The sequence below is a fragment of the Homo sapiens genome, chromosome 1, assembly GCF_000001405.40.
Source record: "Homo sapiens chromosome 1, GRCh38.p14 Primary Assembly".
NCBI classification, from domain to species: Eukaryota; Metazoa; Chordata; class Mammalia; order Primates; family Hominidae; genus Homo; species Homo sapiens.
This window is the reverse complement of record NC_000001.11, coordinates 111,290,112-111,316,684: the sequence shown is the minus strand read 5'-3', so window position 1 is coordinate 111,316,684 and position 26,573 is coordinate 111,290,112. Positions and strand designations below refer to the sequence as shown.

At 37.7% G+C, this 26,573-nt stretch overlaps 1 protein-coding gene across 9 annotated transcripts in view; it reads right to left on the bottom strand.

Annotated features, from left to right (window-relative positions):
- CHIA (chitinase acidic) overlaps window positions 1-25,834 on the bottom strand; it is a 29,713-nt gene extending 3,879 nt beyond the window's left edge. Inside the window, exons 1-6 of one of the 9 annotated variants that reach the window (NM_201653.4) lie at window positions 25,735-25,834; window positions 6,193-6,285; window positions 4,967-4,996; window positions 4,294-4,495; window positions 2,089-2,145; window positions 1,250-1,415 (exon numbers count right to left, since the gene is read on the bottom strand). In NM_201653.4, coding sequence (NP_970615.2) covers window positions 1,250-1,415; window positions 2,089-2,145; window positions 4,294-4,495; window positions 4,967-4,996; window positions 6,193-6,217 — 480 coding nt within the window. In that variant the 5' untranslated portion in view covers window positions 6,218-6,285; window positions 25,735-25,834. Of the gene's footprint in view, window positions 1-812; window positions 980-1,249; window positions 1,416-2,088; window positions 2,146-4,293; window positions 4,496-4,966; window positions 4,997-6,192; window positions 6,286-25,734 lie in introns of those variants that run through there. The other 8 variants (NM_001258004.2, NM_001258001.2, NM_001258005.2 and 5 more) reach the window with 8 other exon arrangements.
- Window positions 25,835-26,573: the final 739 nt, after the last annotated feature.

Here is a 26,573-nt window from a genome sequence, read left to right as displayed (position 1 = left end):
CTGATGCCTACTGGGCACTCTGTTAGGATGCTCTACAGATACCTCATACTCATCAAGTTCAAGGTCAATTCTTCTTCTTTCAAATCTACACTTCTTCCTGTATTTACCATCTTAGTTAATAGCATTAAAATCAAACCCATCCTCAAAGTCAGAAAATTGGAGGTCCTCTCCATTTCCTATTTCCAGTTGATCTCCAAATCCTATTGATTCTATCCTCTTGATATCTCTTATATACATCCTCTTCTTCCCTCAGTGTTAGAGCCTTTGTTGGGGCCCTGATCATTTCTTGCTTGATTTACTGCAATAACCTCCTAATTCTATCCATGACTTCTCATCTCCTTCTAATTTATCCTCTATGGTAAAAGCCAGCTCTCTACTATTTAAAATTCTTCAAAACAGTCCCATTGTGTCAAAGGTAAAGTGCAAATTCCTGAACATAATATAAAAGTTCTCACATTATCTGGTTCTTCATGCAACTTCACAGCCATTATCACCCACTTGCTCACACTTATCTGTATATCATTTGTGCCATTCCCATCCTCACTTAATTGGTTAACACCAGTTTCTTTCAAGACTGAGCCCAAGCATCACTTTCTCTAGGAAACACTTTCTGATCCTGCCCCAGAGCAGAATTAGTTACCCTCTTTCCTTGTTACTTTTGTACTCTGCAGACCTCTAACATGGCATTTATCACAATGCATTGCCATTGTTCATATTCTTTCAGTCTTCCACCTCAGAAGAAGTTCTTCAAAGCCAAGGATAGTGTCTTATTCTTATATTTAGCCTGACAATGTCTGCCACAGAATATGTACTCAGTAATAACGGGCAGCCTAGTGTAATGCTTAGAAGCAATGGACTCTGTGGCCAAACTGCAGAGGAAGTTATGATTCCTACTAGTTGTGTGATCTTGGGCAAGTTGCTTAAATCCTCTCTGTACTTTAGTTTCCTCATCTGTAAAATAAAGATTATAACACTTATAGTATGTATGCCATAGAGTAAATATGAAGATGAAATGAGTTATGGTTCTTAAAACAACATGTAGAGCAGTGCCTGGCACAGAGCTCACATGTTGCTTTGTTGTTGCCATTAAATGTTTGTTTAATGAACGCACGATATATAAGACTCTTTGCAATGCTAATATTCTATCAGTTTAAATTCAAGTTTTGTTTTACCCTAGAGCCACCCAATTCTCCTCGGAAAGAAAGACTTTGAATCTTTTTGGGCTAAAGACTGGGACTTCCTTCCCCACCTGCACCAGGACAGTGAAGAGATGCTTGTCCTGAGGAGGGCTCCCACGAGAGCCAGGGTACTCCCAGTCAAAGTCCAGCCCGTCAAACTCATACTGGCGCAGGAATTTGATGACTGAGGTGATGAAAGTCTGGCGGTTCTCAGGAGTAGAAACCATGGCAGTGAAACTGAGGGAGACCCAAAGAAGGCAGGGTGAGACCTTGGTGGTCCCAACACCTTGGAGTAAAATCAAGCTCTCAATTCCTGCCTCAGAGCCCTTCATCAGGACCCACAGCCCAGAGTAAAGCATGTTCTTGGTTTTCTCCTCTCCTTCCTTTGTAATCACTACTCTTCCCAGCCATGGTATCTTAACATTCCCTTTATTCTGTTATCCCCCCAACTCTGCTCTTTCTCCCAAGTTGCCCTTGTTTCTTTGGATACCTGGCAAACCCAGCACACTGTGTTCCCTCCCCAAACATGTACCCTCCAAGAAGTCCTCTTGTTTATTTGTGTGATTTTCTCATTCCTCCCCCCACCAGAAGATAAATAGAGGGAAGCATTATAACACTGTCCTCAGGGTTTGTACTCTTGAAATACTTTAAGAAGAGGTTGTTTGGGAACCTCAGTAAGTAAACCTCTGTGGATAGGGCCCCCAAATGTCCACCAAATTAAATGTATGAAATAAATTGTGTTCCACTTAATAATGAGGTTCTGGTGTAGCAATATATTTAATTCATATATTTGTTTATGTACATCCTCAATACCCTGTCTTAGATTGTGAAGTCTAAAGGGACAGTGATCACATGGGGCTAACTTGTTTTCCATAGCAAACGAACAACATGCTCTCCATAGAAGACTTACGGGGCAGTCCCGAAGTTCCAGCCTCCAATGGCCAGGAGAGTTTTCAGCTGGCTGTTCCTGTAAAACAAAGGATAGAAACAGATAAACTTCAAAAGTCAGGACTCCCTCCATTTAAAATACATTGCTTTAGTGTTGGATCTGGTCAGATATTTTTGTTTTGCCTTTTGTAGAACAATTTTCCTCCCCTACTGAAAACTTCCTTTATAAAAATTCTTTGTGTTGTTCCTGTCATGAATGCACTCAGGGTTCCCTAGGGAAATCTAAATTTTGAAACTGGGCTTTAAAAAATATTGTGTGTTGGCAGTATCTTTGATTGTGTAAGTTTAAAAAACATGAATAGCTAATATAATATTCTATTCTATCAGATAAAATGGTAAATGTTGCTTGAGCTTAATTACATTTTTAGCCTCTGTAATGTTAAAATAAATTAATTGGCTTGAAATTATACACATTCTCTTGAATAGAGATTCCCAAACATTAACATACATAATAATTAAGTGCAAGGGTTGTGGGAGGACAACATGAAAAATCTGGGTTTATCGCCCCTTCCCCTGAGATTCCAATTCGGTTGGATTGCAGTAGGGACTAACACTTACTCAGGTACCTCACATGATTTTGAGGCAAGTAGTCAATGGAGCACACTTCAAGAAACACTGCCGTAAAGGAGTTTATTTACTCTTAGTCATTGTAACTTAAATTCTAGTAGCTGTATTCACGATAATGCCATTACTGATAGTAGCAATCACCTGTAGCTTTCCTTCTCTTAAATATGACTAAACTGAACAAAGTCAACTCAGAATGGATTAAAGATCTAAATTTATGACCTCAAATTGTAAAACTACTGAAAGAAAACCTTAAAAAAAAGCTCCAAGAGCTACAGCAAGAATTTTTTGGATATGACTGGAAAGTGCAGCAACAAAAGCAAAAATAGACAAATGGGATTACATCAGGCTAAAAAGCTTTTGCATGACAAAGGAAACAGAGTGAAGAGACTACCTATGGAATGGGAGAAAATAGTTGGAAACCATATGTCAAGTAAGGAGTTAGTTAGTATCAAAAATATATAGGAAATTTATACAACTCAGTAGTAAGAAACCAAATAACCTGATTAAAAAATGGGCCAAGGACTTGAAAAGACATTTCTCAAAAGAAGACATACCAATGGTCAACAAGTGTATAAAAAATGCTCAACATCACTAATCATCAGAGAAATACATATCAAAATCAAATGAGATACCACTCAATCCGCTTAGAATGGCTGTTATCAAAAAGATGAAAGGTAAGTGTTGGAAAAGACATGGAAAAAAAAGGAACTCTTGCCCACTGTTGGTGGGAATGAACATTAGTATACCCATTATGGAAAATAGTATAGATGTTCCTCAAAAAATCAAAGAAATAACTACCATATGATCCAGCAGTTACACTACTGGGTTTACATCCAAAGGAAATGAAATCAGTGTGTTGAAGAGATATCTGAATTTCCATGTTCATTGCAGCACTATTCACAGTAGCTAAGATGTGGAATCAATCTAAGTGCCCCTCAATGGATGAATGGACAAAGAAAATGTGGTCTTTATATACAATGAATACTATTAAGTCTTAAAAAAGAGGCAGAAATCCTGTCATTTGCAGCAATATGGATAAACCTGGAGGATATTATGTTAAGTGAGATAAACCAGGCACAGAAAGACATATACCACATGATCTCACTTATAAGTGGAATCTAAAAGAAGTTGAACTCATAGAAGTATATAGTAGAATGGTCGTTAGCAGAGGCTGGGGGTGGTGTGGGGATGGGGGTTGGGGGGCATGTTGGTCAAAGGATACAAAATTTCAGTTAGAAATGAGGAATAAGTTGCAGAGGTCTATTGTACAACATGGTTACTATTGTTAGTAACAATATATTGTATTTTGAAAATTGCAAACAGTACATTTTAAGTGTTCTCACCACAAAAAACATTAAGTATTTGTGGAAATGCATATGTTGATAGTTCGATTGAGCCATTCCGCACCGTATACATATTTCAAAACATTACATTGTCCATAGTAAACACATACAATTTTTGTCAGTTATAAAAGAAAAATGAAATGCAGAGTCTTGGTCCCCATCTCAGATCCATGGATCTGAACTACATTTTAAGAAGCATTAATGTTTGGGAAGTACTGAAAAAGGGGATGCCAAATTAAATATCTCCCTCATCCTACTTATTTTTCAGGCCATTGAAAGCTTGGTAGAGAGTCACATCATTCCATTCGATGGTGGTGATCTCGTTGTTCTGCCTCCCAGCAAAGGCGTAGATCAGGTGGGTACAGAGGCAGGGGTCGATGTTGTCAGGCATGAAGCGCCCCAGGCCTGGCCGGTACTGGGCCCAGTTGGTGAAGTAGCATGTCAGCTGGTAGGCAGAGCCTGTGTGTAGTCAGCAGGAGGGACAATGGCCTGGTTTAGGATCCACTGAAGTGTGCTGTGAGTTTTGGCCTTGCCTCTGTTTCCCTCCCTGTGCCTCAGATGCCTGATCTCTGTGTGGAGGTAATTAGTATGAACACTCTTGCAAATGCATCCTAAGATTCTAACTCAGAACTGGTCACTAACTTGGAGTTGTTTATTTTTAACTTTCACAGACTCATTTTGGGATTTTGGATAAGCCTAGCTAGCAGCCTTCTAAGAAAAGATGCCCATAGTCCTATGAAGCCCAGTGAGTACCAGTTTATAATTCAGATGGTCATGCTGAAGAGGATAGCAGTGACAGCCAATCCAAAACACTAGATTACTCCCAAATCAAACCCATCTGTCTGTGAAGCAAACAGCGGCTCTCTTTCCATAGTATGGTTTATCTCGTATATATACATTCAATGATAAAACATGGAGTCCATGACTTACCGAGCTGCAAATTCAGTATAAGGACAAGACCTGGATAGAAAGAAAAAGCATGTACTTTGAACCGATTGTCTGTACCCCGTAGAATCTAATTCTGAAGGATTGATTGCCTTCCAATTTGCCATAAATTGTTACAACCTCAGTGAGATTTGGTGGTGATTCCAAAGGCTTTTCAGTGAATACAACAGTAGATCTACCTTTCCCCACCTTTATCAAAAATGACCGTGGTACCTTCGTCTCACACCTTTCTTGTCACAAATAAATGTTCCTGAATGCTGAGTCCGAAGTTTACTATCTATGGAAGATGTACTTACTGAAATCACCAACTGATCACTGTAGTCAATGATGACACATCCATTCGTTCTTCCCCTACCTGAGTGATAGAACACAGCCTTCCAACAGATAAGGCATCTGCTAAATCAGAGAATTCAGTATCTTCTGGCCTTTAGTGGTTTTTTGGAATGACTTTCAGGAGGCCTTATATGAGGAGAGAAGAGCTAGGAACTATGGGGTGAGACTCCAGATACCTTTCCCTGACTTCTACAAAGCAATTCTTCTACTCTGATTGTTTTATAAATTGAGCTTGAGGTTTCATTTGGAAAAGGTTCTGAAGCTTAAACAGTTTGCAAATCCCAGCTCTAGAGCAACTAATAAATTCTTGGTATGACTTGTCTCTAAACAACTTACTGAATCAACCTCTTTGAATAATTTAATTTCTAACATGTTTATGGTACATCATCAACTCAGTAGGATAATAGGGGAGTAAATAGAGAAATAATTCTGAAAACAGCAGAACAAAGACAACTTGCATAACTCTATCTCAGTTCCTACTGATTTTCTTCCCCAGAAAAGCTAGTCCAAGGACACAAGCAAATAAATAAACATTATTCCAATTAAAATGAGATGGCGTAGGAAGAAGAGTAAAGAAAAATGAATGGCTGAACAAAAGATGAAAGAGTAAGACTAGCACTAGGAGAAAGTATGCTTTTCCTTTAGGACCAGGTCCATGGGATTAACAAAAGCAGAAATGTTACCAGAGTCAGTTGAAGTTAAGAGAACAAGAGGCAGACTGATTTGTATATAACAAGATTCATTTGAAATTTGAAATGATGAAAGAAGAATGGAAAAGTATAGGGATGTAGTATGAAGACCACTTCATGATTTTCAGAGCCTGTGAGAGAAAAAGAAACTAGATAAGATGAAGGGTCAATCTCTGATTACAAACCCACCTGTGAGGAGAATAAGCTTTGTCATGGTTGCAGTCAGCACCAGTCCCGCAGAGCTTTTTATATGTTCTGATTCTGTGGTTATCACAAAGGCTTCTAAATAGAGAACAATTTGACCCAGATGTGTATGTAGTTAATCAGTAAATCAACGGACCTTCTCTTCTACAAACACCCTCCCAAGACCTTCAACCTACACCCTCCCACCACCAGCATCACCACCTTCTCTGCCCAACAAGGACAGAACAATGTCATGGCTCCTAACAGGGTGGTGGAGACCATCACCATGGAAAACACCAGTTTAATAGCTTTTTTGGCAGTTCCAAGGGCTGATAAGCAACTGTTTAGATACTGTGGTCAGATTTTCTATTGTGGACATTTTGTGTCTGGCATCAAAGCAAGTCTTTATGGAAAAATAAATAAAAAGAAACTTTGGAAGTTATTAGCTGTTCTTAAACCTTTTTTTCCTCATGGAATTATTCATATGTAATTTGTACAATCAGTGCCTAAGAAATCTTCCTTCTTTAGGTGCTACTCTCTCAATATTCTACTCACACATGTTCTTTGGAATGGCTTCAAGTCATGACTAAATGATAATTTTATCTAAGAATGTTTGGATCTCAAAATGTCCCCTATAAAGGTCACCAAGAACTCTCTAGTGTTCTGTAGTTTCAAATTACATCCCCTAAAAACTGCGTTGCTAATGGATAGAAATAATATAGATGATATTGAAATGAGTCTCTTCATAGAAATATTTGCAACTTGACCGTTTCTGGAACTTTGTATTTAAATTAACTCCAATCTACCCCTTCCAAACATAATTCACTACCATTGTTCTATAATACATTTCTCTTTTGGCCAAAGGACTATTCTTTGCCCTCAAACATGCCTTGCATGTCTTTGCTCAAGGTATCCCTCCACTCCTTGCCTGTAATGTCTTGCCTGCAGTGTCTCCTTATCCTCACTGCCTATCCCAATCTTAGCAGTTCTTCAAAGTCCAACTCAGATCTTTTCTATCTTAATGCTCTCTCCTTCTTTTGATTTACTTTATGTACTCTAGCACATATTTTCTGTATTGCTTATATGATGCTGTCTTGTGACAATACCAGGAATGCAGTTGGCGGGAATATGGGTGATCATTATGGGATTTCAGCACCTTAGCAGAGTTCTTGTGAGTCCAGACAGGTTTATCCATTTATCACATTTGGAAACTAAATTGTATCCATTCTTCCTGTGATTGGTAGGTTAAGTGTTTTGTTCTACTCTCAGAACCAGAGAAAGTCTAATAGAAGTGCTGCCAGGAAAAATTTTTATTTTATTTTAGTTCCAGGGTGCATGTGCAAGGTGTGCAGGTTTGTTACATAGGTAAACATGTGCCATGGTGGTTTGCTGTCCCTATTAACCCATCACCTAAATATTAAGCCCAGCATGCGTTAGCTATTTTTCCTGATGCTTTCCCTCGTGCCACCCCCACTGACAGGCCCTAGTGTGTGTTGTTCAGGGAACATTTCAATTGTGAAAATAATCATATCAACAAACACTACAAGTGCCTACTATGTGCCAGAGACTGTATTTGGTGCTTATATCACTTAGGCTTTAATTTTGTAAGCAATCAAAACCAACTCTAAGAAGCACAAATCAATATATTTGAAAGACATGAAGAAACTCACAGAATCAAAAAGAATACAGAACCTGCCTCTAATACAATAGAAACCAAGTCTTTCTATGGGGAGGGGTGTGGGAGGAAGGCTTAGGAGAAATAAACTCCAATTTTATTTTCCATCTATGAATGACAAGAATTAAATCCTGGGGAAAAAGCATATTGTTGTATGACACCAGACCCTCAATTAGGGAAAGGGCAGGGCACTTGGATTTACATTTTCACAAGGACTGGTCACAAAATGAAATTCTAAAAGAATAAAAAGTAAAGCTGAGTGACTAAAAAAAATGACTATCATCAGAGGGCTTGACTTTATTGTTTCTTTTACCCTATAAAGAGGATTATTACTATCACACCAATTTTGCTGATGAGAAAATTAATCAGCTATTAAACACCAGATCCAGATCCCTGTGTTAAGTACGCAAGCTTTTGGCCCAAGTTAAACTGAGTGAGGCATTTTCCCAAGGTAGTCAAGAGAATACAGTTGAGCCAAAGAGAATGTCAAATCAAAGTCAAGGATTTGCAAAAACAAACAGCAAAGCCAGTAGCTCCAGGTTTATCGTATTCAGGACTATAGGGTGTAGCTACCATTTATAGCTAGTGAGGTATTTTCTATTGAATTTGGCATCCCCAGTTCTAAATAAATGACATGACCTACAGATTAAACATTTCTTTTTAATAGCTCCTTAAGAGCCCCAGCAAACTTGCATCCCATCTGAGCACTTGGTTATTGGAAAGAATTACTGCGTTTATGAGTCATAGAATGAATAGTTTTAAACTGTGACCATGTGTATCCTTTTACATTATTGTTTTCAATAACCTTGTATTATTTTTAGTTTCTTTAATTGTAAAATCTACCATACACATGAGTTTAGGTATACATTTTAAGAAAAATATGGCCAAGCCTGGTGGCTCACACCTGTAATCCCAGCACTTTGGGAGGCCAAGGCGGGTGGATCACCTGAGGTCAGGAGTTTGAGACCAGCTGGGTCAACATGGTGAAACCCCGTCTCTACTAAAAATACAAAAATTAGCTGGGTGTGGTGGCAGGTGCCTGTAATCTCAGCTACTTGGGAGGCTAAGGCAGGAGAATTGCTGGAACCCGGGAGGCGGAGGTTGCAGTGAGCTGAGATAGTGCCATTGCACTCCAGCTCAGGTGACGACAGCGAGAATCCATCTCAAGAAAAAAAAAAAAAAAGTAAAAATGAAAACCTTTTCTCCATCACCTAACTTAAAAAATAACATTAACTTTGACTATTACCCTACATACTTCTCCCCAGTTAAATGCTCCTCATTCCCCTGGAGTAACCACTATTCTGAGTTTTGAACTATTTTCTTACTTCATTTATAGTATTATCACATATGTCTGTTTCCCCAAATGATACATTCATTAGTTTTATATTCACTTATTATAATCACTTTATTATATTAGTTTCAACATATTCATTAGTCTTGACTTTATAGAAATGAAATAATACCATATGCATTCTTCTATTTCTTGCATTTTTAGCTCAGCATTGTTTTTGAGATTTATCCACTTGGTACAAGTAGCAGCTGTTCACTTATTTTCATAGCTCTATGGTATTCCATTATACAAATATGCTGTGATTTACTTATCCTTTTTATGTGTAACAACATATGCTTTATTTTCAGTATTTTTCTTCTACATGCTGCTATATAAGCGTTCCTGTACACATGTCTCTTGGTACTCATTTACAACAGTTTTTCCAGTGTTTACACCTAGGAATGGAATTGCCCAGTGAAATAACACATGCATATTAAAATTTACTATTTAGCTAGAAAGTTTCTTCCAAAGTAGTTATATCAATTTACACTACCAACAGCAACGTATGAGAATTCCTATCACTCCACATCTTTGCCAAAACTGAATCATCAGACTAAAATTGCCAAAACTTAATCATCAGACTAAAATTTGTGTCATTAAGGTGAGTAGTTTTAGTTTATATCTATCAAATTACTGATGTGGTTGAGCATTTTTGACATTTATTGGCTGTTTTTGTTTCCTTTTCTGTGAAATGCCTGCTTGTATCTTTTGCCCATTTTTCTATTGTGCTGCCCACAAGTTTATTAATTTTTATAGCCATGCTTTATATATTCTGGATTGTAATTATTTTTCAGTTACGTGCATTGAACATATCTTTTCCAACTTTATGGGTTATTTTTTCACTCTCTTTATGGTGCCTTATAATGAAAATAAATTCTTAATTTTAATAAAGTCAAATGCACACCACTTGTTCTTTATAGTTTGATTTTTTGGAATCTTATTTGAAAAATTTCTCCCTACTCTGAGAATGTAAATATCCTTTATATTTTCTTCTAAAATTTTAAATGTCACCTTTAAATTTGAGCTCTTAATTTATCAAATTTATCTTTTGTGTGTAGTGCATAGACTTGATCCAATTTCATTTTTTCCATGTGGGTAACTACTTGCCCCAGCATAATTTTAATAACCCATCTTTTCCACGCTAATTTGAAATGCCATTTCTACCACTCCTCAGACCTGTCATAGCTAATGGTATCCCACCCTCCAACTCACACACACTGTTTATCATCTTCAGGAATGCCTTAGTTTTCTTGGCCTTTTACGCTTTCATTTTAGTTTTATCATAAAAATCCCATAAGAAACCCCATTGGAATTTTGATTGGAATTACATGGAATAACATTGGAAAAAATGAAAATCTTCATGATTTTAAGGTTTTCCATGAAAATGGGTTGCCTGTCAAGTTATTTACATCTTTGAAAGTGTCTGTTAATAAAGTTTCATAACTTTCTCCATAGTAGTCTTTCACATCTTAAGAAATTACAGATCTTTTATATATTTTGTCTCTGTTATAGATGGTACCATTTTAAACTGCATCTTCTATTTATTACTTGTTTCTATAAATGCAATTAATCTTTATATAAAAACTTTAATTCCAGCAATATCACTAAACATGATTATTAGCTTAAATACTTTTCTACGCATTTTTTGGTTTCTATGTCATCTGAGAATAATGGCAGCTTTCTTTCTTCTTTTCCAATATGCTTAGCTTAAAGGAGAATCACATAAAAGGAAAATGAGGAACGAATTCTGAGAAGATGGCAAAGTAGAAAGCACCAGGAATCTGTCTCCCTTCCTAGACAAAAATTTTACTGGCAGAATTTGTCTGATGCAACTACTTTGGAACTCTAGAGTCTATTAAAGGCTTGCAACTTCAGAAGAAAGCTTCGTAGGTAAATTGAAGTTAATTTTAGTCAATTTCAGTTCTTAGCACAGTAGCAGATATTCTTCCCCCACCACTAAGCCCCAAGGCAGGCAGCTGTGCATGTGTTCCAGGAGCAGCTTATACAGAGCTTGTGGGAGCCAGGGTGGGCAAAAAAGGACTATGTCCTTCAACTATCAGAGATCTGTGCTCTTATCACTGATTGCTGCTTCTGATTACAAAGGTGCAGACAAAGAGGTAGGCAGTCATTGTTCTTGCACCTCCCCCCATTGTTGCAAGCTACTTCCCCTCTGGATGAAGTAACATTTGGGCAATGTAAAGGGTTGGCACCATTCTTATCTTTCCTTTATTTTTCTCTTTCCAACATTTGGAAGCCAGACATCAAACACTAGGACATTAAAAAACAACTGTATATACTGGGAGAATTAGAAAGTCACTGCATATGCCCAAGGAAAGGCTCAGAAAAGACCTGTGAAGATCTTAAGTTTATATTTCAGGCTTATTCTCAGCACAGAGATACCTTACAACAAAAACAACAAAACAAAACCCCAAACCAAAGCCAAGTGCAGTGACCTGTAATCCCAGCTACTGTGGAGGCTGAGCTGGGAGGAGATTTGAACTCAGTAGTTTGAGGCCAGCCTGAGCAACACAGAAAGATCACATCTCTAAAAAATAAAAAATACAAAAAAGACAAGAAACCAAAACAGTAACAAAAAACCCCCAGCAAATTCTGGGGAAAGGGGAGAATCTGCTTTTCAGAGATACCACATTATTAGATTCAAATGTCCAGTTTTTAACCAAAAATCACAAGGCATACAAAGGAACAAGAAAGTATAGCTCATTCAAACGAAAAAAATAAATCAACAGAAATGTCTCTGAAAAAGACCTGATGGCAAATATGCTAGGCAAAGACTTTAGAACAACTGTCTTGAATATGCTCTAAAAAAAGGATGTAGAGAATGAAGAAAATGATGTATGAACAAAATGTAAATTTCAATAATAAGATTTTTAAAAATTTGGACAAAAACAGAAAATAAATTCTGGAGCTAAAAAGTAATATAACTGAAATGGAAAACTTACTAGAAAGGTTCAAGGGCAGATTTGCACTGACAGGAGAAAGAATTGGTAAACATGAAGATAGGAGAGTGAAAATTATTAAGTTTGAGGAACAGAAAGAAAACAAATTGAAGAACACTGAAGAGAGCCTAAAGGACATGTGAAAAGCCATCAAGTGGACCAACATATACATTGTGGGAATTCAAGAAAAATAAAAGAGAAAGAAAGGAGCAGACAGAATATTTTAAAAGATAATGGCCTAACACTTCCCAAATTTGATGAAAGACATGTATATAGACATCCAAGAACTCAGCGAACTCCAAGTAAGATGAACTCAAAGAAATCCACGCAAGACACAATATAATCAAATTTTAAAGGACAAAGGCAAAGAGAGTCTTGAAATCATCAAAAGAGAAGCAACTGGCCACATACAAGGGATCTTCAATAAAATTATCAGCAGATCTCTCATCAGAAACTTTAGAGGCCAGAAGGCAGTTGGCAGATAGATTCAAAGTTCTAAAAGAAAAAAAGTGTCAACCAAAAATCTTTTTTCTGGCAAAACTATCCTTCAAAACAAGGGATAACATGAGACATTTCTAGATAAACAAAAGCTGATGTAGTTTGTTACCAATAGACCTGTCCTGCAGGAAATACTCAAGGGAGTCCTATAGGATGAAATAAACAGACACTAGACAGCAACTTGCTGCCATATGAATAAACAAAGTTCTCAGTAAAAGTAAACACATGGGCAATTATAAAAGCTAGTATTATTGTAACAATGGCTTGTAACTCCACTTTTTGTTCTCCACATAATTTAAGAGACAAATGCATTTCAAAGAATCATTAGTTTACATTTTGGAACACACAATGTATAAAGATAGTATTTTATGCCATCAACAACTGAAAGGGGTAGGGAATGGGGCTGTAAAAGAGCAGAGTTTTTTTAAGTTATTGCAGTTAAACCTGTGTAAATTCAAATTAGAATGTTATAACCTTAGGATATTAAATGTAATCCCCATTGTAACCAATGGGGAAGAAAATAGCTATATATGTGTGTGTATTCATATGTGTGTGTATATATATGTGTGTATGTATATATGTATATGTGTGTATACATGTGTATAGATGTATATGTGTGTGTGTGTATAAGGAAACGAGAAAGAAATGTAAACATTTCACTACGAACAATCAACTAACCACAAAGAAAGACAATAATGCCAGAAATGAGTGACAAAAAAGCTAAAAGGCATATAGGAAACAAATAATTAAAATGACAGAAATAATTCCCTCTTTATCAGTAATTACTCTAAATATAAATATATTAATGCTTCAATCAAAATACTGAGATTGGCAGAATCAATTAAAACACATGATCCAACCATACGCTGTCTACAAGAGACTCATTTTAGATTTAAAGACATAAATAGTTTGAAAGAGAAAGGATGGAGACAGGTATTCCATGCAAATAGTAACCAAACGAGAGCAGGAGTTGCTATATTAGTAACAGACAAAATAGATTATAAATTAAAAAATGTACAAGAGACAAAGCAGGACATTATATATTAATACAAGGTTTAATACAGCAAGAATCGAACAATTACAAACATTTATGTACCTAATGACACACTATAAAAATATATGAAGCAAAAACTGACAGAATTAAAGGAAGAAATAGATAGTTCGACAATAAATGATAGTTGGAAACTTCAATAGCCCGTTCTCAGTAATGAATACAACAACCACACGGAAGATAAGTGAGGAAATAGAGGACCTAAACAACATAATAAACCAACTAGATGTAAGAGATATATACAGAATACTCTACCTAACAAAAACAGCATTTACATTCTTCCCAAGCGCACACGGGACATTTTTCAGTATAGACTATATATTAGGTCACAAATTAAGTCTCAACAGATTTAAAAATATAGAGATCATACAAAGTATCTTCTCCAACCACAAAGGACGTGAAGTTAGAAATTGATAATAGAAGTGAAACTGTAGAAGCCACCAATTTGTGGAAACTAAACAACACACTCTTAATAATAGATTAAAGAAGTAGTCATAAGGGAAATTTAAAAATACTTAGAAATGAATGAAAATAAAAACATAACATAGCAAAACTTATGGGATACTGTGAAGGCACTACTAAGTGAGAACTTTATAACTCTAAATATTCACACTGAAAAACAAGAAAAATGTCAAATTGACAATCTAATTACACCTAAGGAGCTAGAAAAAGAAACACAAATTAAACCCAAAGGTAGCAGAAAGAAGGAAATAATAAAGACTGGCGCTCAGATAAATGAAATAGAGAATAGTAAAACAATAGAGAAAATCAATAAAATAAAAAGTTCTTTGAGAAGATAAAACATTTCAACAAACTTTTAGCTAGATAAACTAAGAAAAAAGAGAGGAGACTCAAATTACTAAAATCAGAAATAAAAATGGGGACATTACTACTGACTATAAAAAATAAAAAGGATTATGAGGCTTTTTTTTAAATTTTACTTTAAGTTCTAGGGTACATGTGCACAACGTGCAGGTTTGTTACATAGCTATACATATGCCATGTTGGTTTGCTGCACCCAATAACTTGTCATTTACATTAGGTATTTCTCCTGATGCTATCCCTCCCCCAATCCCCCACCCCGCAACAGGCCCTGGTGTGTGATATTCCCTGCCCTACGTCCAAGTGTTTTCATTGTTCAATTTACACCTATGAGTAAGAACATGCGGTATATGGTTTTCTGTCCTTGTGATAGTTTGCTGAGAATGATGGTTTCCAGCTTCAGCTTCATCCATGTCCCTGCAAAGGACAGGAACTCATCTTTTTTTTTTTTTTTTTTTTTGGAGAGAGAGTCTTGCTTTGTTGCCCAGGCTGCTGGAGTGCAGTGGCACTATCTCGGCTCACTGCAAGCTCTGCCTCCCAGGTTCATGCCATTCCCTGGCCTCAGCCTCCCGAGTAGCTGGGACTATAGGTGCCTGCCACCACGCCTGGCTAATTTTTTTTTGTATTTTAAGTAGAGACGGGGTTTCACTGTGTTAGCCAGGATGGTCTTGATCTCCTGACCTCGTGATCTGCCCACCTCGGCCTCCCAAAGTGCTGTGATTACAGGTGTGAGCCACCGCACCCGGCCCAACTCATCCTTTTTTATGGCTGCATAGCATTTCATGGTGTATATGTGCCATATTTTCTTTATTCAGTCTATCATTGATGGACATTTGGGTTGATTCCAAGTCTTTGCTATTGTGAATAGTGCCGCAATAAACATATGTGTGCATGTATCTTTATACTAGCATGATTTATAATCCTTTGGGTATATACCCAGTAATGGGATCGCTGGGTCAAATGGTATTTCTAGTTCTAGATCCTTGAGGAATTACCATACTGTCTTCCACAATGGTTGAACTAATTTACACTTCCACCAACAGTGTAAAAGTGTTCCTACTTCTCCATGTCCTCTCCAGCATCTGTTGTTTCCTGACTTTTTAATGATCTCCATTCTAACTGGCATGAGATAGTATCTCAGTGTGTTTTGGTTTGCATTTCTCTGATGACTAGTGATGATGAGCATTTTTTCACATGTCTGTTGGCTGCATAAATGTCTTCTTTTGAGAAGTGTCTGTTCATATCCTTTGCCCACTTTTTGATGGGGTTGTTTGTTTTTTTCTTGTAAATTTGTTTAAGTTCTTTGTAGATTCTGGTATTAGCCCTTTGTCAGATGGGTAGATTGCAAAAATTTCCTCCCATTCTGTAGGTTGCCCTTTCACTCTGATAGTAGTTTCTTTTGCCGTGCAGAAGCTCTTTAGTTTAATTAGATCCCATTGGTCTATTTTGGCTTTTGTTGGCATTCCTTTGGTGTTTTAGTCATGAAGTCCTTGCCCATGCCTATGTCCTGAATGGTATTGCCTAGGTTTTCCTCTAGGGTTTTTATGGTTTTAAGTCTAATATTTACGTCTTTAATCTGTCTTGAATAAATTTTTGTGTAAGGTGTAAGGAAGAGATCCAGGTTCAGCTTCCTACATATGGCTAGCCAGTTATCCCAGCACCATTTTTTAAATAGGGAATCCTTTCACCATTTCTTGTTTTTGTCAGGTTTGTCAAAGATCAGATGGTTGTAGATGTGTGGTGTTATTTCTGAGGCCTCTATTCTGTTCCATTGGTCTATATATCTGTTTTGGTAACAGTACCATGCTGTTTTGGTTACTGTAGCCTTGTAGTATAGTTTGAAGTCAAGTAGCATGATGCCTCCAGCTTTCTTCTTTTTCCTTAGGATTGACTTGGCAATGTGGGCTCTTTTTTGGTTCCATATGAACTTTAAAGTAGTTTTTTCCAATTCTGTAAAGAAAGTCATTGGTAGCTGGATGGGGATGGCATTGAATCTATAAATTACCTTGGGTAGTATGGCCATTTTCACGATATTAATTCTTCCTATCCATGAGCATGGAATGTTCTTCCATTTGTTTGTGTCCTCTTTAATTTCATTGAGCAGTGCTTTGTAGTTCTCCTTGAAGAGGTCCTTCACATCTCTTGTAAGTTGAGTTCCTAGGTATTTTATTCTCTTTGTAGTGATTGTACATAGGAGTTCACTCATGATTTGGCTCTCTGTTTGTCTGTTATTGGTGTATAGGAATGCTTGTGATTTTTGCACTTTGATTTTGTATCCTGAGACTTTGTTGAAGTTGATCGTCAGCTTAAGGAGATTTTGGGCTGAGATGACGGGGTTTTCTAAATATACAATCATGTCATTTGCAAACAGGGACAATTTGACTTCCTAATTGAATACCCTTTATTTCTTTCTCTTGCCTGATTGCCCTGGCCAGAACTTCAAACACTATGTTGAATAGGAGTAGTGAGAGAGGGCATCCCTGTCTTATGCCAGTTTTCAAAGGGAATGCTTCCAGTTTTTGCCCATTCAGTGTGATATTGGCTGTGGGTTTGTCATAAATAGTTCTTATTATTTTGAGATACATTCCATCAATACCTAGTTTATTGAGAGTTTTTAGCATGAAGGGCTGTTGAATTTTGTGGAAGGCCTTTTCTGCATCTATTGAGATAATCATATGGTTTTTGTCATTGGTTCTGTTTATGGGATGGATTATGTTTACTGATTTGCATATGTTTAACCAGCCTTGCATCCCAGGGATGAAGCCAACTTGATCGTGGTGGATAAGCTTTTTGATATGCTGCCAGATTTGGTTTGCCAGTATTTTATTGAGGATTTTTGCATCAATGGTCATCAGGGATATTGGTCTAAAATTCTCTTTTTTTGTGGTGTGTCTGCCAGGCTTTGGTATCAGGATGATGTTGGCCCCATAAAATGAGTTAGGGAGGATTCCCTCTTTTTCTATTGATTGGAATGGTTTCAGAAGGAATGGTACCAGCTACTCTTTGTACATCTGGTAGAATTCGGCTGTGAATCCATCTGGTCTTGGCCTTTTTCTGGTTGGTAGGCTCTTAATTATTGCCTCAACTTCAGAGCCTGTTATTGATCTATTCAGAGATTCCACTTCTTCCTGGTTTAGTCTTGGGAGGATGTATGTGTCCAGGAATTTATCCATTTATTCTAGATTTTCTGGTTTATTTGTGTAGAGGTGTTTATAATATTCTCTGATGGTAGTTTGTATTTCTGTGGGATCGGTGGTGATATCCCCTTTATCATTTTTTATTGCATCTATTTGATTCTTCTTTCTTTTCTTCTTTGTAAGTCTTGCTAGCAGTCTATCAATTTTGTTGATCTTTTCAAAAAAGCATCTCTTGGATTCACTGATTTTTTGAGGGGTTTTTTGTGTCTCTGTCTCTTTCAGTTCTGCTCTGATCTTAGTTATTTCTCACCTTCTGCTAGCTTTTGAATGCGTTTTCTCTTGCTTCTCTAGTTCTTTTAATTGTGATGTTAGGGTGTTGATTTTAGATCTTTCCTGCTTTCTCTTGTGGGCATTTAGTGCTATAAATTTCCCTCTACACACTGCTTTAACTGGAGATTCTGGCACGTTGTGTCTCTGTTCTTACTGGTTTCAAAGAACATCTTTATATCTGCCTTCATCTCGTTATTTACCCAGTAGTCATTCAGGAGCAGGTTGTTCACTTTCCATGTAGTGGTGCGGTTTTGAGTGAGTTTCTTAATCCTGAGTTCTAATTTGATTGCGCTGTGGTCTTAGAGACAGTTTGTTGTGATTTCTGTTCTTTTACATTTGCTGAGGAGTGCTTTTCTTCCAACTATGTGGTCAATTTTGGAATAAGTGTGATGTGGTGCTGAGAAGAATGTATATTCTGTTGATTTGGGGTGGAGAGTTCTGCAGATGTCTATTAGGTCTGCTTAGTGCAGAGCTGAGTTCAAGTCCTGGATATCCTTGTTAACCTTCTGTCTCATTGATATGTCTAATATTGGCAGTGGGTTGTTAAAGTCTCCCATTATTATTGTGTGGGAGTCTAAGTCTCCTTGTAGGTCTCTAAGGACTTGCTTTATGAATCTGAGTGCTTCTGTATTGGGTGCATATATATTTAGGATAGTTAGCTCTTCCTGTTGAATTGATCCCTTTACCATTATGTAATGGCCTTCTTTGTCTCTTTTGATTTTTGCTGGTTTAAAGTCTGTTTCATCAGAGACTAGGATTACAACCCCTGCTTGTTTTTTTTTTTTTTTTTTTTTTTTGCTTTCCATTTGCTTGGTAGATCTTCCTCCATCTCTTTATTTTGAGCCTATGTATGTCTTTGTACATGAGATGGGTCTCCTGATTACAGCACACTGATGGACCTTGACTCTTTATCCAATTTGCCAGTCTGTGTCTTTTAATTGGGGCAGTTAGCCCATTTACATTTAATGTTAGTATGTTATGTGTGAATTTGATGCTGTCATTACGATGTTAGCTGGTTATTTTGTCCGTTAATTGATGCAGTTTCTTCATAGCATCAATGGTCTTTACAATTGGGCATGTTTTTGTAGTGGCTGGTACCAGTTGTTCCTTTCTATGTTTAGTGCTTCCTTCAGGAGCTCTTGTAAGGCAGGCCTGGTGGTGACAAAATCTCTCAGCATTTGCTTGTCTGTGAAGGATTTTATTTCTCCTTCACTTATGAAGCTTAGTTTGACTGGATATGAAATTCTGGGTTGAAAATTCTTTTATTTAAGAATGTTGAATATTAGCCCTCACTCTCTTCTGGCTTGTAGAGTTTCTGCAGAGAGATCCGCTGTTAGTCCAATGGGTTTTCCTTTGTGGGTAACCCGACCTTTCTCTCTGGCTGCCCTTAACATTTTTTCCTTCATTTCAACCTTGGTGAATCTGACTATTATGCGTCTTGGGATTGCTCTTCTCTAGGAGGATCTTTGTGGTGTTCTCTGTATTTCCTGAATTTGAATGTTGGCCTACCTTGCTAGGTTGCGGAAGTTCTCCTGGATAATATCCTGCAGAGTGTTTTCCAACATGGTTCCATTCTCCCTGTCACTTTCAGGTACACCAATCAAATGTAGATTTGGTCTTTTCACATGGTCCCATATTTCTTGGAGGCTTTGTTTGTTTCATTTTACTCTTTTTTCTGTAAACTTCTCTTCTAGGTTTATTTCATTAATTTGATCTTCAATCACGGATACCCTTTCTTCCATTTGATCAAATCAGCTACTGAAGCTTGTGCATGCATCACGAAGTTCTCGTGCCATGGTTTTCCGTTCTGTCAGTTCATTTAAGTTCTTCTCTACACTGTTTATTCTGGTTAGCCATTCGTCTAACCTTTTTTCAAAATTGTTAGCTTCCTTGTGATGGGTTCAAACATGCTCATTTAGCTTGGATAAGTTTGTTATTATCGACCTTCTGAAGCCTACTTCTGTCAACTCATCAAACATATTCTCCGTCCAGCTTTGTTCCGTTGCTGGCAAGTAGATGCGATCCTTTGGAGGATAAGAGGTGCTCTGGATTTTAGAATTTTCAGCTTTTCTGCTCTGTTTTATCCCCATCTTTGTGGTTTTATCTACCTTTGGTCTTTGATGTTGGTGACCTACAGATGGGGTTTTGGTGTGGATTCCCTTTTTGTTGATGTGGAAGCTATTCCTTTTGTTTGTTAGTTTTCCTTCTAACAGTCAGGTCCCTCAGCTGCAGGTCTGTTGGAGTTTGCTGGAGGTCCACTCCAGACCCTGTTTGCCTGGGTATTACCAGTGGAGGCTGCGGAACAGCAAATATTATAGAACAGCAAATATTGCTGCCTGATCCTTCCTCTGGAAGCTTCGTCCCACCTGTATGAGGTGTCAGTCAGCCCCTACTGGGATGTGTCTCCGAGTTAGGCTACACAGGGGTCAGGGACCCACTTGAGGAGGCAGTCTGTTCATTCTCAGTGCTCAAACACTGTGCTGGGAGATCCACTGCTCTCTTCAGAGCTGTCAGACAGGAATGTTTAAGTCTGCGGAAGTTTCTGCTGCCTTTTGTTCAGCTATGCCCTGCCCCCAGAGGTGGAGTCTATAGAGGCAGCCAGCCTTGCTGAGCTGTGATGGGCTCCGTCATGTTTGAGCTTCCCAGCCTCTTTGTATACCTACTGAAGCCTCAGCAATGGTGGATGCCCCTCCTCCTGCCAGGCTGCTGCCTCACAGGTCAATCTCAGACTGCTGCGCTAGCAGTGAGCAAGGCTCCATGAGCATGGGACCCACTGAGCCAGGTGCGGGATATAATCTCCTGGTCTACCATTTGCTAATACCTTTGGAAAAGCACAGTATTTGGGTGGGAGTGTCCCGATTTTCCAGGTACAGTCTGCCATGGCTTCCCTTGGCTAGGAAAGGGAAATCCTCCAGTGCCTTGCACTTCCTGGGTGAGGTGATGCCCCACCCTGCTTTGGCTCACCCTCCGTGGGCTGCACCCACTGTCCAACCAGTCCCAATGAGATGAACCCGGTACCTCAGCTGAAAATGCAGAAATCACCTGTCTTCTAACCAGTCCCAATGAGATGAACCCGGTACCTCAGCTGAAAATGCAGAAATCACCTGTCTTCTGCGTTGATCACACTGGGAGCTGCAGACGGGAGCTGTTCCTCTTTGGCCATCTTGCCTAATTCTCAGTGGTTGGATTATGAGGCTTTTATGAACAATTGTATGCCAATAAATTAGATAATCCAAATGAAATGAACAAATTTCTAGAAACAAGAAACCTAACAAAGCTAAATCATGAAAAGATAGAAAATTAGAATAGACTTATAACCACTAAGGAGATTTAATTAGTAACCAAAAATCTTACACTGGGCATGATGGCTCATGCCTGTAATCCCAGCACTTTGGGAGGCCCAGGTAGGAGAATCACTTGAGCCTGGGAAGTTGAGGCTGCAGTGAGCTGTGATTGTGCCACTGCATTCCAGCCTGGGTGACAGAGTGAGATCCTGTCTCAGAAAAATCATAAAATGCAATAAGTTTCCAACAAAGAAAAGCTGTAGACCAGATGACTTGAGAGGTTAATCCACCAAACATTAGTGACAAATGAACACCAATTCTTTTCAAACTTTTCCAAAAAAATGAAGAGGAGAAAACACTTTCTGACTCATTCTATATGTCCAGCATTACTGTAATATCAAAGCCAGATAAACATACAGGTAAACTACAGACCAAAATCCCTTATAAACACTGATGCAAAAATCCTCAACAAAATACTATTAAACTGAATTTAACAGGATGTTAAGGGATTATATACTGTGTTCACGAGGGATTTATTCATTGAATGCAAGAAATGATTTAACTTATGAAAACCAATGAATGTAATACACCACATTAAAAGAATGAAGAAAAAAATGGCATAATCATCTCAATTGATGCAGAAAAAGTATTTGCCAAAAGTTAATACCCTCTCATAATAAAAACAAACTAGAAATAGAAGCAAACTACCTCAATATAATAAAAGCTATGTTTGAAAAACCCACAGCAAATATCATACTCAATGGTGAAAGACTGAAAGCTTTTCTTCTAAGATCAGCAACAAGATAAGAATGCTTCTTTTGCCACTTCTATTCAACATAGTCTTAACCAGAACATTTGGGCAAAAATAAGACATAAAAGGCATCCAATTTGGGAAGGAAGTGGTAAAATTGTCCCTGCAGATGTGGTCTTATATAGGAAAAACCCTAAAGATTCCACACCAAAAATTTTGTCAGAGCTAAAAAATGAATTCAGCAAAATAACAGGTTACAAAGTCAACACAAAAATCAATTGCATTTTTATAAACTAACAAAGAGAATAAAAAAAGAAAAATTATAAAAATAATTTCATTTACAATAGCATCAAAAAGAATAAAATACTTAGAAATTAACTTAATGAAGTGAAAGACTTGTACAATGAAAACTATAGCCTGCTGTTCAAATAAAGAAAATGTGAATAAATGGAAACATGCCCCATGTTCATGAGTTGGAAGACTCAATATTGTTAAAATGTCTATACTACCCAAATGATGTACAGATTCAATGCAATCCCTATCGAAATCCCAGTGATGTTTTCTTTGTTGTCATTGTTTTTTGAGACAGGGTCTCACTCTGTCACCCAGGCTCGAGTGCAGTGGCATGATCATAGCTCACTGCATCCTTGACTTCCTGGGCTCGAGCAATCCTCCCACCTCAGCCTCCTGATTAGCTGGGACCACAGTCATGTGCCACCATGCCTGGCTAATTTTTTTGTATTTTTTATAGGAACAGGGTTTTGCCATGTTGCCCAAGCTGGTCTCAAACTCCTGAGCTCAAGAAATCTGCCCACCTTGGCCTCTCAAAGCACTGGAGTTATAAGCATGAGCCACCACATCTGGCCCCATTGATGTTTTTGGGCCATTTTCTAACATCATAGGCAAAATTAACTCAAAATAGATCAATGGCCTAAATGTAAGATGTAAAAGTATAAAATTCTTAGAAGAAAACATAGGGCAAACAGTTCATAACATTGGACTTCCAATGATTTGTTGGATATGACACCTAAATCACAGACAACAAAAGAATACAATGCACAAATTGGACTTCATGAATATTTTAAATGTTTGTATATCAAAAGACAATGCAAACAGAGTAAAAGTGCAACTCACGGAATGGTAGAAAATATTTGCAAAGAGTTTATCTGATAAGAGATATTCAGAATATAGAGAGAACTTCTAAAATTCAATGACACACACACACACAACCAAACAACTTGATTCAAAATGGACAAAGGACTTGAATATCTATTTCTTCAAAGAAGATATTGAAATGGCCAATAAACACATAAAAAGATGCTTAATGCCATTAATCATTAAGGAAATGCCTATCAAATCTACAATGAGACATCACCTCATATCCACTAGGATGGCTACTATCAAAAAACAGAAAATAATAAGTGTTAACAAGGATGTGGAAAAATTGGAGCAGTTGTGCCCTGTTGGTGGGAATGTAAAACGGTACAGCTGCTATGGAAAACAGTATGGAAGTTCCTAAAAAAATCATACATAGAATTACCATATGATCCAGCAATTCCGCTTCTAGGTATACCCAAAATAACTTAAAGCTTGGTGTCAAAGAAATATTTGTACTTCCATGTTCACAGTAACATTACTCACCATAGCTAAAACATGCAAGCAACTCAAGTGTCCTTCAGTGAATGAATGGATAACAAAACTGTTATATATACATACAATAAAGTATTATTCAGCCTTTAAAAGGAAATTCTGACTTGCTACAACATGGATGAATCTTGAGACATTATACTCAATGAAAAAAGCCAGTCCAAAAAGACAGATAATATATGATTTTTCTGTTTATGTGAGATACTTAGAATAGTCAAAATCATGGAGACAGAAAGTAGAATAGTGGTTTCCTGGAGCTGGGGGAGGGGGAAATGGGGACTTACAGGTTAATGAGTATAGAGCTGGAGTTTTACATGATGAAAAGAATTATGGAGATGGAAAGGAGAGATGGCTCAAGAACATTATGAATGTATTTAGTACCACCGAACTGTACACTTAAAATATTTAAGTTGGTAATTTGTTTTGGTCTATTTTACCACAAGAAAAACATTTTTAAAACATGGAAAAAAAGATAACGGAGACTGGCCCATGCAGTCAATGTAAGTGAGAATGCCAGTTTATTCACATACAAAGAGGGTAAGACTGTTAGAATAACCAATGCCAGTCAATTGCAGAGAGCATTCTCCCACATCTGTCCAGCACAAAGGTTGCCATATGACAGAACAGAATATCAGCATGGTCTCTAGAATCGCTAACTTATATTTCAATTTTTGTTCTCCTTCTTTCTAGATATGTGACATTAGACAAGTTATTTCACCTGTGAACCTCAATTTCCTCATGTATTACATATGGATAATACTAGTTGTTGTCTTATAGGGTTGTTGTGAGAATTAAATGAGATAACCTACCTAGCACTGGGCCTAGCACATGTTAGTTATTTAATAAATTTTAGTTAATGTTATTTTTCCCAATCTGAAGACCTCAAGTCCTTGGATAGCTGAGGAGTAATTATAGGGGAAAGGGGAGTTTGCACACAAAACATTGTGTGTGAATTAAATACCTTACATGTTTCAAATATAAATTTATTACAATTACTATTTTTAAGATTTAATTTAATTCTATTTTATTTTAAGTTCCGTGATACATGTGCAGGACGTGCAGGTTTCTTACATAGGTAAACATGTGCCATGGTGGCTTGCTGCACCTATCAACCCATCACCTAGGTATGAAGCCCCACATGCTTTAGCTCTTTATCCTGATGCTTTCCCTACCCCCACCCCCCCCCGACAGGCCCCAGTGTGTGTTGCTCCCCTCCCTGTGTCTATGTATTCTCATTATTACAATTATTTTTAAAATATAGATGTTTAAATAAAATACTAATTCATTTGGAAATTCCAGTTGCATTTTGCTATATATTTTTCCCCCCTTTTTAAAAAAAATTTTACTTTAAGTTCCAGGATACAAGTGCAGAATGTGTAGGTTTGTTACATAGGTATACGTGTGCCATGATGGTTTGCTGCACCTATCAACCCGTCATCTAGGTTTTAATCCCCACATGCATTAGGTATTTGTCCTAATGCTCTCCCCCCCTTGCCCCCAACCCCTCAGCTGGCTCCAGTGTTTCTTGTTCCCTTCCCGGTGTCCATGTGTTCTCATTGTTCCAACTCCATCTTATGAGTGAGAACATCCAGTGTTTAGTTTTCTGTTTCTGTGTTAGTTTGCTGAGGATGATAGCTTCCAGCTTCATCCATGTCCCTGCAAAGACATGATCTCATTCCTGTTTATGGCTGCATAGTATTCCGTGATGTATATGTACCACATTTTCTTTATCCAGTCTATCATTGATGGGCATTTGAGTTGGTTCCATGTCTTTGCTATTGTAAATAGTGCTGCAATAACCATACGTGTGCATGTGTCTTTATAGTAGAATGATTTATATCCCTTTGGGTATAAAATGATCTGTGTGAGAGATGTGTGAGGGGAGGAGAAAAGACACACACACAATACCTTTAAGGGTAAACAACCTTTATCTCACATAAATGGCAATGCAGATGTAATAAGCAAACGATATAATAAACAACTTGATATAATAAGCAAATTGATATAACAATCAAATTGCAATGGGAAAGGGAGAAGGGAAAAGATATATATATATTTACACTCACCAGACTATGGAGGATTCACCACCAGACTGGAAAGCAACAGCCTGGGCTCCAGAGTCGGCCACCTGTTCGTGCACAGACGAGGAGGTTTCATGAAGCTTTGGCACCGTCTGGGACTCTAGCTGTTTTTGTAACGAGTTGTTTGGCATGAGGCCCAGTAACAAGGGCCCTTCACAACTAGGTTCAAGGAACATAAAAAGGTCAGCTTGTTTTTTGAGACTGTCTATTTTTTTCAATAACTAACATATAGGACTAGATTGAAATAGAGATTTTTCCAAAACAGTGCTGGATGAACGCCTCAAGGGGCTCACACAACCTGTTCCGGGACTTGGTGACCATTGTTTGTGTCCATGTTCAGTTGAGTTCAAATTTAATATTTAACTTTTCCTCCACATTTGGCCTCAATCTGATACTCAATTGCAGGAAAATACCCTTACAGATACATGGGGAAGGGATATTTGATATAGTTTACAGATACAGGTTAAGTACAGCAGAATTAAAAGCACAATTAATAAAAACCACACCCAACATGGCTTTGTGAGTAATATTGTGAGAATTGTTAGGGCTATACACAGAACATTCAGTATGCAGTAAGGTGCAAAACCCTCCTTGGGCTGAGGTAAGCGTATCTAATGCCATTTGATTTTGTAACACAACAGTACGCAGCTGAGCAAATTCATCTGATAACAACTTAAGTCCAGTGTCCGACTCTGGAGCCTAGGCTGTTGCTTCCCAGTCTGGTGGGGAATCCTCCTTTCAAAAAGCAAAAGTTAGCTTCCTGTTGGGCTTTGCTGGAAACAGAACACCTCTGCTTCAACCATGATGTCTTTATGAAGCCTGAA